We start from the raw sequence: 16,919 nt of genomic DNA on the forward strand, positions 1-16,919 counted from the left end.
ATGTCCAACTTACTATTTAAATCCCATTAGCAGAGTCAACATTGCCATGCAAAGGGAGATTGCTAATTTAGTTTATATATATAGAGAGAGACAGAGTTTCGCTCTTGTCGCCCAAGCTGGAGTGCAATGGCACGATCTTGGCTCACTGCAACCTCCACCTCCTGGGTTCAAGCGATTCTCCTGCCTCAGCCTCCCGAGTTTCTGGGATTACAGGCACCCGGCACCACGCCCAGCTAATTTTTTGTAATTTTAGTAGAGACGGGGTTTCACCATGTCGGCCAGGCTGGTCTTGAACTCCTGACCTCAGGTGATCCACCCGCCTCGGCCTCCCAAAGTGCTGGGATTACAGGCGTGAGCCCCTGCACCCAGCTGAGATGGGTAATTTGGGATAACGTCATCGATTCATTAAGACAGGTCCCGCAGATGCATTAACCCACATCAGAGGAAACAGATGAGAGGACGCTAGAAATGGGGCTGGGAATCCCCAAAAATCCCCAGGAGACCCCCCAGACAGGAAACTCCTGTGGATGTGAGATGCCCACTGGACATCGCAGAAGGGCATGGAGCGGGCAGGTGGGTGTGAGAGGCTCAAACCACAGGAGGCATCCAGGCCAGTGAGAGAATAGGCAGGAACAGGCATGGAAGCCACGAGGCCGGGTGAGATGCCGGGGGTGAGTGTGGACGGGGCAGTGAGAGGATAGGCATGGAGGCCATGAGACTGGATGAGATGTCAGGGGATGAGTGTGGATGGGGTATCCACAGAGGAGAGACAGAGGAGAGGCTGTGGGTACCAGGTCCTGTGACCGGATGAGAAGCCAGGGGTGAGTGTGCATCAGGCAGAGGAGAGGCTGTGGGCACTGCGTCCCAAGGCACCCCCTCAGGAGGCGGAGGGAGGAGAGAGAACCAACAGCAACCAGCCCCATAGCAGGAGGACAGTGAGAAGGAGGGGATGGGGGGTGCCTGGAAGTCGAGGGAAGACACCGATTCCAGGGGAAGGACTGGACGGGTCGGCGTGGAATTAGGACACCCGGCCACTGCGACAGGCTCAGGAACAAGCACAGACCTCAGAGGCTGGCTGACATCATTCCTCCTTCGGATCATGGCCTGGGAAGCCCCATGGCATCTCCACTGAGACAGTCACACAGTCAGGCTCCAGGGAGGGGAACAGACTCCACCTCTCAATGGGCAACAGTCAGTTCTGGAAGAGCAGGAGGTCCTGGAAACACCTGGGGAAATGCGAGCAGCAGCAGGATGCTGGACGGCTCAGCCTGGCTGGCCCAGGGTCCAGACCCTCCCACTCCATGACCAGGGGCGGCAGCTCCCCCTGCAGACGGGTATCCTTGCCGGGGCCTGACCTGCCAGTCCACACTCTAGGAGCTGCCACTGGCAACTGTTCCACCCCACACCAATGTGTGTCAGGGTCTTTCTGATGCAAGTTATGGAAACCAACTCACAGAAAACAAGGGGATGAAGGACTTTTAAACACAGGCATCTGGGCGCCTCAGATTTCACAGAGGGCTCAGATAACATCATCAGAGCACAGTCATCTCCGCCTCTCTCTCTCTCTGCCCCTTTCCATCTGTTTCTGCCTCTCTTTCTCTTCTGTTTCTCTGTCCCTGTCTCTTTATCTCTATCTCTGTCTCTGTCTCTCTCTCTTTGCCTCTCTCCATCTGCTTCTCTCTCTCTCCGTCTCTCTCTCTCTTCTCTGTTTCTCTGTCCCTGTGTCTTTCTCTCTTTATCTCTATCTCTGTCTCAGCCTCTCTTTGCCTCTCTCCATCTGCTTCTGTCTCTCTGTGTCTCTCTCCCTCTGTCTAACTCTGTCTTTGTTTCTCTGTCCCTGTCTTTCTGTGTATCTCTCTGTCTCTTAATCTCTATCTCTGTCTCTGCCTCTCTCTCTCTGCCTCTCTCCATCTGTTTCTGTCTCTCTGTGTGTGTCTCTCCCTGTCTCTCTATCTCTGTCTCTCTCCTGTTTCTCTGTCCCCGTCTCTCTGTTTCTCTATCTCTATCTTCGTCTCCGCCTCTCTCTCTCTCTCTCTCCATCTGCTTCTGTCTCTCTGTGTCTCTCTCCCTCTGTCTCTCTGTCTCTCTCTTCTGTTTCTCTGTCCCTGTCTCTCTCTGTCTATCTCCATCTCCATCTCTCTCTCCCTCCTGCCGACCCAGCCCTGTCGGCCTCAGGCTGCTCCACTCCCTCTGGGACCCCAGGGGCCTCTGCACCACCTGCAGGTGCAGACTCTCCCCTCCTGCTCCTGCGAACCCCGCCAAAATCCCAGGCCTGGCTTTCATTGGGCTAGCTTGGATCACGTGCTCATCACTGAGCCAATCACGGTGTCCAGGCGACCCAGAGCCGAGACGGGAGCCAATCAGCAGCGCTGGGTGTTACACTGGGCAGGGCCTGGGTGGCCACGCCCCTCCCCTGAAGAAGGCGGACCAGGGCAGGGAGCAGCGGCCCCGGGAGGGCGGGGCGGACGGGGTCCGCGGAGGGAGAGGGGCAGGGGGTGTGGCGGCTGCAGGCGGAGCAGGGGCTGGGCCTCCCGTGGGACCGGAAGGATTGTGCGGTGCCCAGGACAGGGCGGGACTTTCACAAAGGGCGACAGGAAGAGTGAATTACCGGGCCCCAGCTCTGCCACTGTGCTGTGTGGCCTCGGGCAGATCACTCAACCTCTCTGTGCCTGGTTCCCCGCCTGTGAAGTGGGGCCAGCAAGCGGGTGCTGTGGGGTTCACCCTGATGTGTGCGTGACTCAGAAGGGCGGCTGCACCTCTAAGTTACTGTCACAGCAGAGACCTCCCCTGGGCGAGGCAACTGGATCCACAGAGAGAACATGGGCTGCCCTCCAGAAAGCACCTCCTGCCCGCGGGGCACGCGGAAAAGGCCCAGCAGTTTCCCTTCCCAGGGCGGGAGCTACGCATCCAGGACCCAGCTGCAGACCCACAAGGGCCTGGGCTGCGGGATCCCCAGGCCAGTGACCTCCACCCTCGCCTAATTGTCCCAGCTGCGTCTCCTTCACGCCTAGTTAGATTTTGTTGTAAAGAGATAAAAGGCTGTTACTTTGTATCAGCAAGGCGTCTTTTTCTGCAGGACTGAGTTCACGAAAGGGGAAGGCGGTGGGCGGGGGAGTAGAAGGAAGCGGGGGCCGTTAATAGACTTTGGAATAAAATCCTGACAGACTCAAATTGATTCTGCAGCCTGAGAAAAATGGAGTGCAGAGGAAATGAGATTTATGCGCTGTTAACTCTGCAACTGCCTCTCAGTGTCTGCACCAAAGGCTGTTAAAATGGTGATCTTTAGTCACGTATGGAAATTGTGTGTGAAGAGACGGATGAACCGTCCAGGAGCAGGCTCCTTCCACGCCGTGTCTTATACACAGTGATATTATTATCAATGACATAATGCATTATGGGTGTAATTTAATCCGAGCATCTAAAGGTACACGCAAACCAAAGGTTCCTGGCACATGTTCCACGCCTGTGATTACCAGAGAACTCTGGGGGCTGTGAAGACAGTGGCGGGCCCATCAGTCACTGGCGCCTAGTGGGCTGTGGGGGTCTCACCTCTCCCAGCTTGGGGTGGGGAGGGCTGGACCCACTTTTACTCACACGCCAGCCCCGATCCAGGACACTGCTCAGGAGACCAGGCCCTCCCTCGGGGACAGGGCCCTGGGGGATCGTCAACTCCTTCCACAGCAGGGCAGAGCTGTGCCCACCCTGCCACGACCAGCTCCTCCACAGATGCCTCCTGTGGTGTTTCTTGTCATTGCTTCTGGGGGACCTAGGAGTAAGGTGTTCTGGACATCGCTGAGAAACAGCCCTGGGCCCCACTCCCCTCATTGGAGAGGCAGAGCCCTATTCATGCTTGAGGGAGTGTATCAGTCAGGCTGGGCTTGGCTGGGCTGTGTAACAAACAGCCCCACACCACAGCAGCTGAGCACTTCACAGATGCATGTCTTTCTCACATGTGTGTCCAGCGTGGGCCAGCAGGTGCCTTTGCTCTTTGTCATCACTGGGGGACAGGGACCCAGGTGTCAACACACATCCACAATCCCCAAAGCAGGAAGCATCATGAACTCGTGTTTAAAGGCTAGAATTTCATTGGCCAAAGCAGGTCACATGGCCGGGCCTAACTTGGAGAGAGAGGGAAAGCATAATCCTAAATGCGTCTGGAAAAGGAGGCCAAAATATTAGTGGGCGGCGCCACTGACTTCCACGTCTGCCTTCTGGACTAATCGACTGTGTTCACTCCCCGTCATGGCTCCCCAGGTGAGACGACCCCAAATCACAGCCATATCGGGTCTGGGTGACCCCAGACACCTCTTCACCGGAGACTCACAGACTGAAGAGATTGGTCATTGCCTCCCTCATGCTCGGTGCACAGTGGGTGGCAGGGAATGGACATGATGGCCCCAGCAGCAGGGAGAGAGAGAAGGGAGATGGCGGCAGTCGCTGGTCCACAGAGGACCTGAAACCCCCGGGAAGGCCCCTGAGCACCCACCCTGGTGCTGGTCCACGCTCCCTCACTCAGTCCAGATTCAGTTCCTACCTGAAGGTCACCTCCCTTTCTGCCATCCTCCGAGGCCCCTGGCTCTGCCCTCCGAGAGGTTTCTGATTCCTCCATGACCCTTCTCGGCCAGTACGAGGTGGGTACCCAGGACACGCCTTCCTTGGGGCCGGTGAGTCTTCGCCGCCCACCTCCTGGTCGCAGGAGTTAGTGGTGGTTTGCATTAACGCACACGTTTCTCTTGTAGACTGAGTGGGTGCCATCCTGTCATCGCGACTCTCTCGAGACCCCAGGAGCTTTCTCATCTCTGGCTTCAGCCAGCTCCACATGCAGCAGCCACCCCTGCAGCTCCTCCGCCATCGACCTTCCCAGGGCCACAAAGCCTTCCGCCCATGCCGATGGCTCAGCTGAGTTTCAGGGACGTCATCCTCCTCTCCCTACCTGGTCACTTTCCCCTGCGCCGTTTTGTCCAAGTGAAAATCACCATGCCCACATGGCACCTTCACCATGAGACGCCTCGATGCACGGGAGATGAACAAGGCTGTGACGCCGTGCCCTGCTTGAGACTTTTGTCAGTGCACTTTCTTGATCACTTGGAGTCTACAGTCAGCCGGCTCTTCCAGCTTTCTGGGAGTGTCATATTTTGAAATCTCCTTGTTCACTTTCACGCCTGCTGGCAGGATGGACAATTCCTGTCTGGGTCTGGCTCCTCAAAAGATCTCACTGGCATGTCTGCCGACGTGCGATTTTCCAGCCTTTCCCTAGAGCTGCGGTTTCGTCAGGTTCATGGTCCAACTTCCAAGTTGCCGAGTCCAGTCTGACCGAGTGTTCCACACCGAGTGTGCTCCGGCCTCTGCCCCGCCTTCTCTCTGTCCTCCACGTGAGCAGGACACGTGCTCCAGGTGCCCTGTGGCTGCGGCAGCACCTCATTTCTTGGAGCTGGTTTCTGCGCTGTCAGGATTGCTTGGTTCTGCTGCTCTAACAAACAGTCCCCAGACTCAGTGCCTTCAATGGCGAAGGCGTATCTCTCACTCAGGCAACTGCTCTCACACGTCCTCAGGGGACCTGCTGTTTGTCCTCACTCAGGGATGCAGGTGGAGGAATGATCTGTTTGACACACCTTTCTGCGAGGACTCAGTTGGCCAGAGGAGATGTGGCGAAACGCGCTGGGCGGGGGAGGCCTCTGCCGGGGTGGACCGGGGCACCTGCTCACATTCCCGCAGCAACGCAGGCTCAGGCTCACGCTTGGATTTGCCCTCCACTCCTGCGGTTTACTCCTTGAACAAATGTTTGCTGAGACTCCACCGTGTGTCAGACACTGCTCTAGGCCCTGGGGGTGCTGCAGGGGAGAGAGAAGACACAGGAGAACCCTGCTTTTGTGGAGTGTGCGTCCCAGTGGCAGCGGGGGTAGGTTGACAGCTGGAAGGGCCCGATGCTGATGAATCCTGCAGAGACAAATAAGCAGGAGCGGCAGGGACACGGGAGGAATCTGAGGCTAAGCAGAGAGATCAGGGAGGGGCTCACTGAGAAGCTGATGTTGGAAGGCGTGAGGGAGCAGCATCTCAGGCAGAGGGAACCTCCTGTGCAAACACAGTGGGAATGTTCAGGAAACTGCCCCATGTGGCTCAAGGCCAGGAAGCAAGGAAAGAGCAGGCGGTGGCCAGGGGGTGACGAACGGGGCGGGGCCTGGGGCGGGTGGCCGGGGGGTGACGAACGGAGCAGGGCCTGGGGCGGGTGGCCGGTGGGGGGGTGATGAACGGGGCGGGGCCTGGGGTGGGTGGCGGGGGGGGGTGACGAACGGGGCGGGGCCTGGGGCTGGTGGCCGGGGGGTGATGAATGGTTCAAGGCCTGTTGGGGGGGTGATGAACAGGGCAGGCCTGGGGAGCAGGCAGTGGCCAGGGGGTGACGAACAGTGCAGGGCCTGGGGTGGGTGGCTGGGAGGTGACAAATGGGGCAGGGCCTGGGGCTGTTGAGACACTAGGAGCCATGAGCAGGGAAGTGCTGTGAGCTGATCTGGTCTTGACATAATCATGCTGGCTGGGAGGAGAGGGCGGGGTGAGCCTGCGGCATCTACTGACTCCAGCATCACAAAGGGTCCCACACTTGGCAGCTGAAAACAGCACACACTTATCAGCTCCCATTTTCCTTAGATCAAGGATCAGGTATGGCTTGGCTGGATCCGCAGGCTCAGGGTCTCACAGGCTGCAATCCGGACTCAGCTGGGCAGGGGTCTCATCTCCCATGGGGAAGAAATGGCTCCGAGCTCAGGCATGTAGTTCTGGGCGGGATTCAGTTCTTCAGGGCCTCAGCTCCTCACTGGCGTTTAGCTGGAAGCCGCCCTCAGTCTCTTGCCCCATGGCAGCTCTCGGCACAGCCACTGGTTTCACCAGACCGTGGGAGAGGGTGAGAGGGATGAGCAAGATAGACCAGGGTCTTTCCGCGACCAGATTTGGAAGTGACACCCCATTGCTTTTGCCATTTTCTATTCATTTGAGATAAACCACAGGTCCCGCACATGCTCAAGGGAGGGAGCGCACAAGGACTGAGCACCAGCAGGGGCACCACGGGCCGTGTGAGGCTGCCCCATAGAGGGCGAGAGCAGCAGCTGCTGGCTACTGCACCAGTCCAGGCCGGAGACAGCAGTGTCTCGGACCAGGTGGCCGGGGTGGAGGCCGTGAGAAGCCATCGGATGCTGGGTACTTGCAGACAACAGGATCTGCTTCAGGCTGGGAGGAGAAGAGCCGCGCCTTGGCCTTCACCTGAAGGGGGCTGCCGTCACCTGAGATGGGGCAGCCGTGACCCATGACCTGAGATGGGGCAGCCCAGCTCCACTCTAGACAGGGTCCCTCCCGTGCCCTGGGACCTTCCTCCCAGTAGAAGGTGAGGAGAGCGTGGTGGGAAACGCAGAAGGCTTGTGAGCAGCGGGCAGGGCAGACAGTCCTCACGGGGAGACACCCCACGCCCAGCTCCAGCCACCCACCCGGGGCACAGCGGCCTGCCTGTTGTCACTACCAAGCTCGCCACCACATGAAGGGGCTGCCCCTGCTGGGAAGCCCTGCCAGCCCCAGAACCACCAACCCTCCCATTAATCCGCTTTAAACCCACGACGAGGTGGGGGCCCGTAAGCAGCTTTTCAGGTGAGAGACAATGTCCCCACGCAGCGCGTTGCCCAGGAGACCGCAGGGCTGAGCTGCAGGCTGAAGTCGGCCCGCTGTGTTTACGCTTCCGTATGTGTTCACCCTGCTCCACCCCAGGCCCAGGAGGGATTCAGAGGCTGAATTCCTGAGAGCACAAGAGCACAAAGAAAAACTCATGTGGGCAAACGCAGACAGGGAATTCGCTGTCAGTCCCAGTTTCCCCACGTACCTTTCGGCTCAAAATACTCCCTGATCTGCTCATCCCAACAGGTCCCAGAAGGGAGCAGAGCCAACAGCCAGCCTGGGAAGGCGCCAACTCAGACAGAAACTGATCCAAGCCCTCGTCTCTGTTCTCGCAGATGGCCTGGGAAAGGAAACCTGTCCGAAACCTGCCTGCGAGTCCCATCTGACAGCTGCCAACGGCAGCCACCCTCCTCCCTCCCTGACCACACGGCCTCTTCCCGACGGTGACGCTCAAGCTCCTACCCCACGCCCTGTGACTTGCCGACTTGCCCACCTCCCCACCTCCCGCCCACTTCCCCATTTTCACACATGAGGGTTCTCCCATCCTCAGGCCTCAGCTCAGATGTCCTTTCCATGGGGCCTGTGGGAAGCAGCCACCTGCGGCCACTCTCCCTCTCCCAGGGCACTGGTCACTTCCTGAAACCCGCTCCTGGCCCTCGCCCGTCTCCCTCCCCAGGCTGGAAGTTCCCAGGTCCCAGGCCTTGAATTTCCCCAACAGCCCCTGTGGCCCTGCCCACAACAGGAAACCGCGGGAAGGCAGCAGAGCCCAGGGTGCTCCTGTGGGATGCCTGCCTGACAGCGGGGCTCAGGCAGGGACCCTGATGGGCTGCAGCCCCTCAGCAGCCTGCGTCCTCTGGGCCTGGGGGAGCCACTGGTGTCAGGAGCCTGCGGGTGGACTCTGGACAGGAACCTGGAATTCCCTAGTTCCTGGGAGGCAGCCACCAGATGACAGCGTAGGCACGTCCTTGCCCGCCCCCTCCAGCACAGCCCCCAACCCCGAGAGGACTGGGCAGATGGCCAAGAAGGGGAAGGTGCCCTCCCCCATCCTGAGCAGGCGGCCATGAGGCCTTGGCAGACCTCCCACCCTGGAACTGGGCCGCTGGAGCCTGGGGTAAGACATGTGGAAGGGCCTCGGCTCCTCGTGCCTGGCACTCAACACACCTGAGCACACCTGCAGACACCTAGGCACATCGGCACACACCTGGGCACACCTGCACACACCTGGGAACCTCTGCGCACACCTGAGCACACCTGCACACACTGGAGCACACCTGCACACACATGGGCATACCTGCACACACTGGAACACACCTATGCACACCTGCACACACCTGCAACGCTCATCGTCCCTATGTGACCTGGAGCAAGTTATCTAACCTCTTGGTGCCTGAGCTTCCTTATCTGTAAGGTGATAGTGATGATGCCCCCCCCCAGAGAGCTGTCATGAGAATGAAATGAGGTGACGCCCTTACAGGTGTGTAAGGGCGATACCTGGCACACTGTGGGGCCATCTGAGGGTTGCTCATCATCCCCCATCCCGGGAGCTTGCCACCGTGCCCGGGTGTGCAGCCCACAGACAGCTGCAGCTGCCATGGTCACATGAGATCACAGAGAGGCAGGTCTGGGAAGGGGCTGCCAGCCCTGGTCTGGTGAGCGGCAGGTGGAGCGCCAGCTGCAACGCGGTGGGGAGCAGTGAGGGGCGTGGCACAGCAGGCAGGAGCCCGCGGGGCGAGGCGGCGGCCCGCAGACAGCTGCAGCTACTTCCTGACTCGCAGGGTGTGGACTCAGCCTTGCTCCACCTTCTGTTCTTTTAAAGAAAAGCTGGGGCCGGGCGCAGCGGCTCACGCCTGTAATCCCAGCACTTTGGGAGGCCGAGGTGGGCGGATCACGAGGTCAGGAGATCGAGACCATCCTGGCTAACACGGTGAAACCCCCGTCTCTACTAAAAATACAAATAATTAGCCGGGCGTAGTGGCGGGCGCCTGTAGTCCCAGCTACTCAGGAGGTTGAGGCAGGAGAATGGCGTGAACCTGGGAGGTGGAGCTTACAGTGAGCTGAGATCGCGCCACTGCACTCCAGCCTGGGCGACAGAGCGACACTCCGTCTCAAAAAAAAAAAAAAATAGAAAAAAGAAAAGCCGGAAGTCTGGATTTGGGGGCAAAGGTCCCACATTTAGAAACACCATGCTGTTCAGATTTGCAACATACCTGCCGTTGGCCACGGCCCAAGAGCCCGGGGGTGACGTCGACCTCAGCACTGAGGTGGGCTCTAGAGTGCACACCTGCGCTGCACGTTCTGTGAGTGTGCACCCGCCTCCCGGCAGGCCTGGGCTCCTCCCACAGGTCAGAGGCTGCAAACGACAGGATCTGCCTGAGATGGGGCTGCCGTGAGAAAGATGTCTTCTCTCTTGGATTTAGGGTCCACCGAGAGAGGTGGAGAGGAAATATCATTCCCCGGCCTAACCATATGAGGACTGCAGTGACGGCCCCCGCCAGCACCTGCCCCTCCTGCGGGCTTGGCTCCCCGGCAGGCGCTCCCCAGATGCGGCTTGGTCCGTGCTGAGGATCCAGAGACCTAGGTCCAGAGGCTCAAGTTTCCAGGTTTGGAACTGGCGTCTACTAATATGGTAGATTGTGCCAAAAATGCACACATGGCCGAAACAATATTTTCAGTCCTGCGTGTTCTTCCAGACCTTTGCCTTCCCCCTCAACCCCCCCGTGGAGAGGAGCCCCGCTCCCCGCTGCCTGAATGCACGGCCTTCATGGCGGGCTGGGGAGGAGCACAGGGCAGAAGGCTGCAGCCGGCCCACTTGGCCTGCTCCGGGCTCTGGGCTCTGGGCTGGGGGCTCTGGGCTCTTACTCATGGAACCAGCTGCCAGGCTGTGTGGGAGCCCAGACCACACAGAGGAGCCCCTGCAGGTGTCTGGTCACAGCCTGGCCAGGGCTCAGCCGACAGCCACCACGACCCACCAGGTGCCTGAGCGTTGGGCGAACTCGGCCCCCAGCGTGTGGGCAGCCCCAGCTCCTGCCAAGTGTAGCAGAAACAAGCCGTCCGCAGCAAACCTGCCCGAGCTGTGGATTCAGGATAAAAATCATCCCTGGTGTTGCTGCAGGTCACAAAGTGTGGGGGTGGTTTCTGGGCAGCAGCTGGCGACGGGGGCAAGTGCCCAGCACCCAGTGACCCTGTGCAGCTCAGCCTCCTCCTGGAACTTTCACGCCTGTAAACTGGGGACCATCAGGGGCCCCTCTCTTAGGAGCGTTGGAGGGTTCCGTGAGTATGTACATACGTGGTACTGGGTAGAATGGTGTCCACCCAGAACCTCAGGCTGCGGCCTCATCTGGAAACAGGGCCTTTGCAGGTGGAGTTGGTTAAGATGAGGCCCAGCTGATGAGGGTAGACCCTAAATCCAAACACAGGCATCCTTATAAGAAGAGAAAACAGAGACAAGGAGGAGACGCAAGGGAAGGAGGCAGAGACTGCAGCGCTGCAGCCACAGCCAGCACCTGGGTGCCAGCAGAGGCCAGACCGGGTGGCAGGATCCTCCCCTGGAGCCTCGGCCCCACGATGCCTGACTCCAGACTCCTGGCCCCAGGCTGGGAGCACGCGTTCCGCTGCGTTTCGTCACTAGCGTGCAGCAGAGGCCTGTGAGCATTGGCCGCTGCCTGTCCCGTTCCCTCAAGAACTTGCTACTCTAGATTCTCAGAGGGATGGAAAAGTTAATTTTTAAATTACACCGAAAGAAAATCCTCCTGCTGCAGGCCCGCTACCTCCTAACGAGACTCCTGGGTTGGAATCTTCTAGAAAGCACGTTCTGTGCTCAGTAGAGATGGTAGTTTCTCATGGGTTTTCCTAAAATTAGGGGCACCAGAGGGGGTGGGACGTGGGGCCCCTGACCAGCCCTGAGCACACACAGCCACAGCTGGTTTCTCCAAGATGCCCAGCACAGAGGCCCAAAGACAGAAGGCCAACCACAGGGCACAGCTGTCCTGGAGGCCCCCGGCGGCTCCGCAGCCCTCCCTGCCTGCTGCTGGAGGCCCCTAGCAGCTCCCTGGCCCTCCCAGAGCTGTCCTGGAAGCCCCTGGCAGCTCCGTAGCCCTCCTGGCCTGCTGCTGGGCTGCTGAGGGACCTCAGCATTGGCTGCATTTCCAAAACCAGCAGCTCAGAGGCCCTGCAGGAGACGCTGCCAAGTGGGGCCCCGAGAGGGACTGGGCTGCAGCTGTTTGGAGCCTTTCTTCCAGTGCACCACCTCCGCATCTTCCCTCCACCCCCGCCCCTGCCGTGGGGAGCCCTGCCGACGGCGTTTAACTGACTGTGTAAGGCTGGGCCTCTTGCCCTCCCACTCCTGTCCAGAACAGTGAGGACCTGTTCCATCCATCAGAAAGGCCTCCGCAGAAGCCGCGAGCCGTGCCTTCGCGTGTGCACACCTGAGAGCTCACGCGTGTCTGTGGGTACTCAGGGTGCGATGTGTACACAGATCTGAATGCAGACGCACGTGCCCATGAGCACGCACGTCCAGAGAGACGCACGTCTGCTTATCCACAAGGTGCACGCGTGTCTGGATCCGCACAGGTGCGCGTCTGCTCGTGGACACGCAGAGGCGGGTGGGGCTGTGCACGTATGCCTGTCTGCACAGGAGGCTGGAAACATAACCGCATGTGACTTGAGGGCCTGTGTGTGATGGTGTCGGGGTCTGCGGCGTGCCTGGTAGGCATGTGTGTGTGTTTGCCAAGGTTACATGTGCCTGTATGTTCATGCTTATCTTGGCGTGTCTGCATGTTTGGTGTACAGAGTAGATGTCTGTGTGCATGTGTGCATATGGTGGGTGCAGGGAAAGAATGTAAGATCGGGGAGCTGGAAAGGACACGCCCTCGCCTGGCCAGCCGAGGATGCCTGTCCTTGGTTGCCATGGCAAGCCCTGGCATCTGCACGTGGCCTCGGCACAGCCCCTCCCCCCGGGTCTGCTCCCAGGGCCCCAGGCAGGCGCTGCTTACCAGGGCAGGTGCTTCCCCCGCGGGTGTGGCAGGCTGGGGTGGGAGCTCATGGGCCCCTGCACCTGCAGAGGGTCTCCCCATCACCCTGGTCAGGTGCTGGAGGGACCCCTGAGCTGCCCCCGTTGTCCTGGCCTGGGCAGAGGCAGTGGCAGGCAGACAGCCCTGGGCAGGGACACACCTGGAATCAGACCAAGGCTGCGGCACAGCCCAGCAAGCAGGGCGTCGGCCTGTGGTTTCTGACTTGAGAGTCACTGGGCGACAGTATCTCCGAGGCCAGAGCAGTCCCTGGAGATGGAACGGGCATTCTCCCAGGGTGCCCAGAGCCCAGGGAAAGACGGGGACGGCAGAAGGAACTGCAGGTGGCGCCCACAGGTGCGCAGCTGAGACCCCATCACCACATCCCGGGGCCGTCAGGCATGAGTTGACCCTGAGGTGACGTCGGCGCCATGCCTGGGGTGACATCGGCACCATGCCTGGGGTCACCAGGGCCGTGCTGAGCCAAAGCGCCCTGGCAGCTGGCTGCGAAGCTCGTGCACCCACGGGTGCAGCCACGGGGCTGGTTCTGACCCAGGCCACGCCCGCCCACTCTGCAGCCTCCGTCCTCATTGGTACAACAGGGGCAACGGGGCTCAGTTTGCGTGTCCTGTTCCAGAAAGTTCTAGAGATGGCCTGTGCCCTGTTGCTGCTGTCACTGTTGCTGCTGTTTCATCTACACTGAAGATCTGCTGTGAGTGTAGCCGCCTTCATCCGTGATCTCAGCTGGATCTTCCATCGGGGAGCTGGACGTGCTGCCTCACCTGCACTTCTGTGTGATGGAGGTGGCTTCTGTCCCTAAACCTCAGGAAGCCACCTCTGCCAGCTGCCAGCTTTTCTTCTGGAGCTTCCTCACCTCTCTCAGCCTCCACAGAATTGAGGAGAGTTACAGCCTTGGTCTGGATCCGGCTGTGGCTTGAGGAGACGTCGTGGCTGGTTTGATCTTCTATCCGACCGCCACCACGTTTTCCACATTGGCAACAGCCTTTTCGCTTCCTTCCCAATCGTGTGTCCACTGGAGTAGCACTTACACTTTCCTTCAAGGACTTTTCCTTTATACTCAAAACTTGGCTAACTCTTTTGCACAAGAGGCCTGGCTTTCCGTCTGTCCAGATTTTGGCATGCCCTTCTCACCAGGCTTAGCCATTCCTAACTTCTGATTTGAAGGAGAGACCTGCAACCCTTCCTACCATTTGAACATCCGAGGCCACTGGAGGGTATCACGTGGCCTGACTTCAGTGCTCTGTGTCTCAGGGACTAGACAGGCCTGAGGAGAGGGAGAGGGATGGGGAAGCTGCTGGTCGGTGGAGCAGTCGGAACACACAACATGGATGGATTAAGCTTCCTGTCTTATATGGGGACAGTTTGTGGTGCCCCAAAACAATGATCATACTAATATCAAAACTCACTGATCACAGATCACCGAACAGATATAATAAAGATGGAAATGTTCTGGCCGGGCGCAGTGCCTCACGCCTGTAATCCCAGCACTTTGGGAGGCCGAGGTGGGCGGATCTCATGAGCTCAGGAGTTCGAGACCAGCCTGGCCAACACGGTGAAACCCTGTCTCTACTAGAAACACAAAAATTAGCCAGGCGGGGTGGTGGGTGCCTGTAATCCCAGTTACTTGGGAGGCTGAGGCAGGAGAATCACTTGAACCCGGGAGGCAGAGGTTGCAGTGAGCTGAGATCGCGCCACCGCACTCCAGCCTGGGCACCAAGACCGAAACTCCGTCTCAAAAAAAAAAAAAAGAAAAGGAACATGTTTGAAACTGCAAGAGCTACCAAATCATGACCCGTGGCGACGTGAGCACTGGCTGTTGGAAAAGTGGCATCGACAGACTTGCTCCACGAGGCGGCCGCACCCCCAGTGTGTGAAACACCCACAGGTGACTGCAGTGAGCGAGGCTGGCCTATGAGCCCGCCAGGTGGAAGTCAGCATTTTTCTCTCTTAAAGGGGCTGTGTGGATTCCAGCACGTTACAGTCAAGGCAGCCAGGCCCCCAGCTTCACTGCGGTAGGAGCGGAGGGTCGGCTCAGAGTGGGCCCCGTTTACTGACCCCGTGCTGTGGCTCTGCAGACACAGCCCGAGCCCCCAGCGCCAGCCCAAGGCAAGCCCCATCCTCGGGGTCCCCTTCCTGCGCTCAGCCCAGCCCCTCACCTGTTGCAGCAGAGAGTTTACCACCCCGGTGAGCGGTGCCAGCATCTCCCAGCCTTCACGACATCACGGCCTGGACACGTGACCTCGCTGGTGGGAGCCGGCATCCGTCATCATCGTCCTGATTGTAGGGCCCCGGCAAGTAGCGGCCTCTCCGGAGAACACAGACGAGCACCATGCAGAGAAGTGTCGTGGTTTCACTCACCCTCACATGCCCACGGAGAAGCAAGACTCCACCTTGGTCCCAAAGGAGAGAGAACCTGACCCCAAAGGAGGGAGAGACCCTGAGCCTGAAGGAGAGAGAGACCCTGAGCTCGAAGGAGGGAAAGACCCTGAGCCCGAAGGAGAGAGAGACCCTGAGTCCGAAGGAGAGAGAGACCCTGAGCCCGAAGGAGGGAAAGAACCTGAGCCCGAAGGAGAGAGAGACCCTCAGCCGGAAGGAGGGAAAGACCCTGAGCCCGAAAGAGACAGAGACCCTGAGCCCGAAGGAGAGAGAGACCCTGACCCCGAAGGAGAAGGAGAGACCCTGAGCCCAAAGGAGAGAGAGACCCTGAGCCCGAAGGAGAAGGAGAGACCCTGAGCCCGAAGGAGAGAGAGACCCTCAGCCTGAAGGAGGGAAAGACCCTGAGCCCAAAAGAGACAGACACCCTGAGCCCGAAGGAGAAGGAGAGAGAGACCCTGAGCCTGAAGGAGAAGGAGAGAGAGACCCTGAGCCCGAAGGAGAAGGAGAGAGAGACCCTGAGCCCGAAGGGGAGAGAGAGCCTGAGCCCGAAGGAGAAGGAGAGAGAGACCCTGAGCCTGAAGGAGAGAGAGACCCTGAGCCCGAAGGGGAGAGAGACCCTGAGCCCACCTGTCCCCCCGGCCCGCCAGGCTCCCTCCTGAATCGAAGGGCTCTGCTCCTGCCCCGAAGGAGAAGGAGAGACCCTGAGCCCGAAGGGGAGAGAGAGCCTGAGCCCACCTGTCCCTCCGGCCCGCCAGGCTCCCTCCTGAATCGAAGGGCTCTGCTCCCGCCCCCCAACCCCCACTGGCTCCCCTGCACCCTCTGCTCGGGGGCAGCAGAGCCGGCTTAGAGGCACCTGGCTTCAGCCCCAGGGCTTTGGGGTAAGAACACAATGAGACTGGGTAATTCTCACAGAAACTTACTTCTCACAGTGCTGGGGGCTGAAAGTCCAAGGCCAAGGCACCCGCATTTGGTGAGGGCTGCTCTCTACCCAAGACGGTGCCTGGCGTGCAGTGTCCCCTGGAGGGAGAAATGCGGGTCCTCAGGAGGCAATGGCGGGAGGGACAGACCCCCGATAAGGCTCTTTCTGGGGGCACTAATCCCATAAGGAGGGGCCCTCAGGCCAGTCACCACTTCACACCATCACATCGGCAAACGCAGGTTCCTGGCTTATTTCCTTCTCCCCAGACTCCACCCCCGACCTCACACAGAGCGGGAACTCAGTAGGTATCTGTCAAATGAATAAACAGAAGAAAGGAATGTGGGGGGTGGGAGGGAAGCACTGGAGAGGAGGGGAGAGAGGATGGAGGGGAGAGAAGAAGGAAGGGAGGGAGGAGGGAGGGGAGAGACGAAGGAAGGGAGGGGAGGGAGGAAGGAGGGAGAGAGGAAGGAAGGGAGGGAGGAGGGAGGGGAGAGAGGACAGAGGAAAAAGGAAGGCAGGGAGGAGGGAGGGAGAGAGGGAGGGAGGAGGAAGGGGGCAAGCGCTCAGTGGTGAACGGCAGACGGGTAGTGGCTGGCCAGGCCTGCCCAACACAGGGTTGGGTTGTTCCTGGGGCCGGGGACCCAAGGCTTATGCAATCAGGAGCCAGGCTTTGTGGGTGCAGGAGCCGGAGAGCAGCCCCCAGCCACACACCTCAGGCTCGGTGGACATCTGGGAGGGGTGCCTGGGCCGGTGCAGGCGAGCACTGCGCTGCCCCTGTGGCCCCTGAGCCAGGGCTGAGGCTGAGCGGGTGCTGCCTGCCTGCCTGCCCTCTCAGCCTGGGTCTGGGAGATCCACAACCACAATGGGGGTTCTCTGAAGCTCAGGCTGGAAGAGACGCCACGTGGAGGAAAGCGGAGGAAACAGAATTCCCAGAGACGGAGCTG

General features: G+C 59.5%; 1 protein-coding gene across 8 annotated transcripts, besides 2 other annotated features; it reads right to left on the reverse strand.

The window, feature by feature from the left end:
- Positions 1–3,388: 3,388 nt before the first annotated feature.
- LOC105370092 (uncharacterized) lies at positions 3,389–16,898 on the reverse strand. Of its 8 annotated transcripts, XR_007063544.1 has the most exons (5): positions 15,977–16,319; positions 10,940–15,093; positions 9,861–10,003; positions 7,859–7,993; positions 3,389–7,774 (listed from the first exon to the last, which is right to left on the reverse strand). XR_007063544.1 is itself a non-coding variant. In XM_047429966.1 (4 exons), exon 4 carries the CDS (start codon positions 13,248–13,250, stop codon positions 12,186–12,188), a length of 1,065 nt encoding a protein of 354 aa, XP_047285922.1. In that variant the 5' UTR covers positions 13,251–13,944; positions 14,837–15,093; positions 15,977–16,073; positions 16,687–16,898; the 3' UTR covers positions 3,389–12,185. The 8 variants fall into 8 exon arrangements, 5 of the variants coding, with proteins under 5 accessions (XP_047285922.1, XP_047285921.1, XP_047285920.1 ...); XM_047429966.1 differs by adding an exon at positions 16,687–16,898 and having other exon boundaries at positions 3,389–13,944; positions 14,837–15,093; positions 15,977–16,073; XM_047429965.1 differs by having other exon boundaries at positions 3,389–13,944; positions 14,837–15,093; positions 15,977–16,073; positions 16,195–16,319.
- Positions 7,557–8,091: an enhancer, noted in NCBI's record as "H3K27ac-H3K4me1 hESC enhancer chr12:133005261-133005795 (GRCh37/hg19 assembly coordinates)". NCBI's record gives its function as "activates a minimal SCP1, AML or CMV promoter by ChIP-STARR-seq in naive H9 embryonic stem cells {active_cell/tissue: H9 hESC(naive)}" and the evidence as "EXISTENCE:reporter gene assay evidence [ECO:0000049][PMID:30033119]".
- Positions 9,321–9,490: a silencer, noted in NCBI's record as "silent region_5116". NCBI's record gives its function as "represses an Ori minimal core promoter by ATAC-STARR-seq in GM12878 lymphoblastoid cells {active_cell/tissue: GM12878}" and the evidence as "EXISTENCE:reporter gene assay evidence [ECO:0000049][PMID:35858748]".
- Positions 16,899–16,919: the final 21 nt, after the last annotated feature.

The sequence above is a fragment of the Homo sapiens genome, chromosome 12 (assembly GCF_000001405.40).
Source record: "Homo sapiens chromosome 12, GRCh38.p14 Primary Assembly".
NCBI lineage: Eukaryota > Metazoa > Chordata > Mammalia > Primates > Hominidae > Homo > Homo sapiens.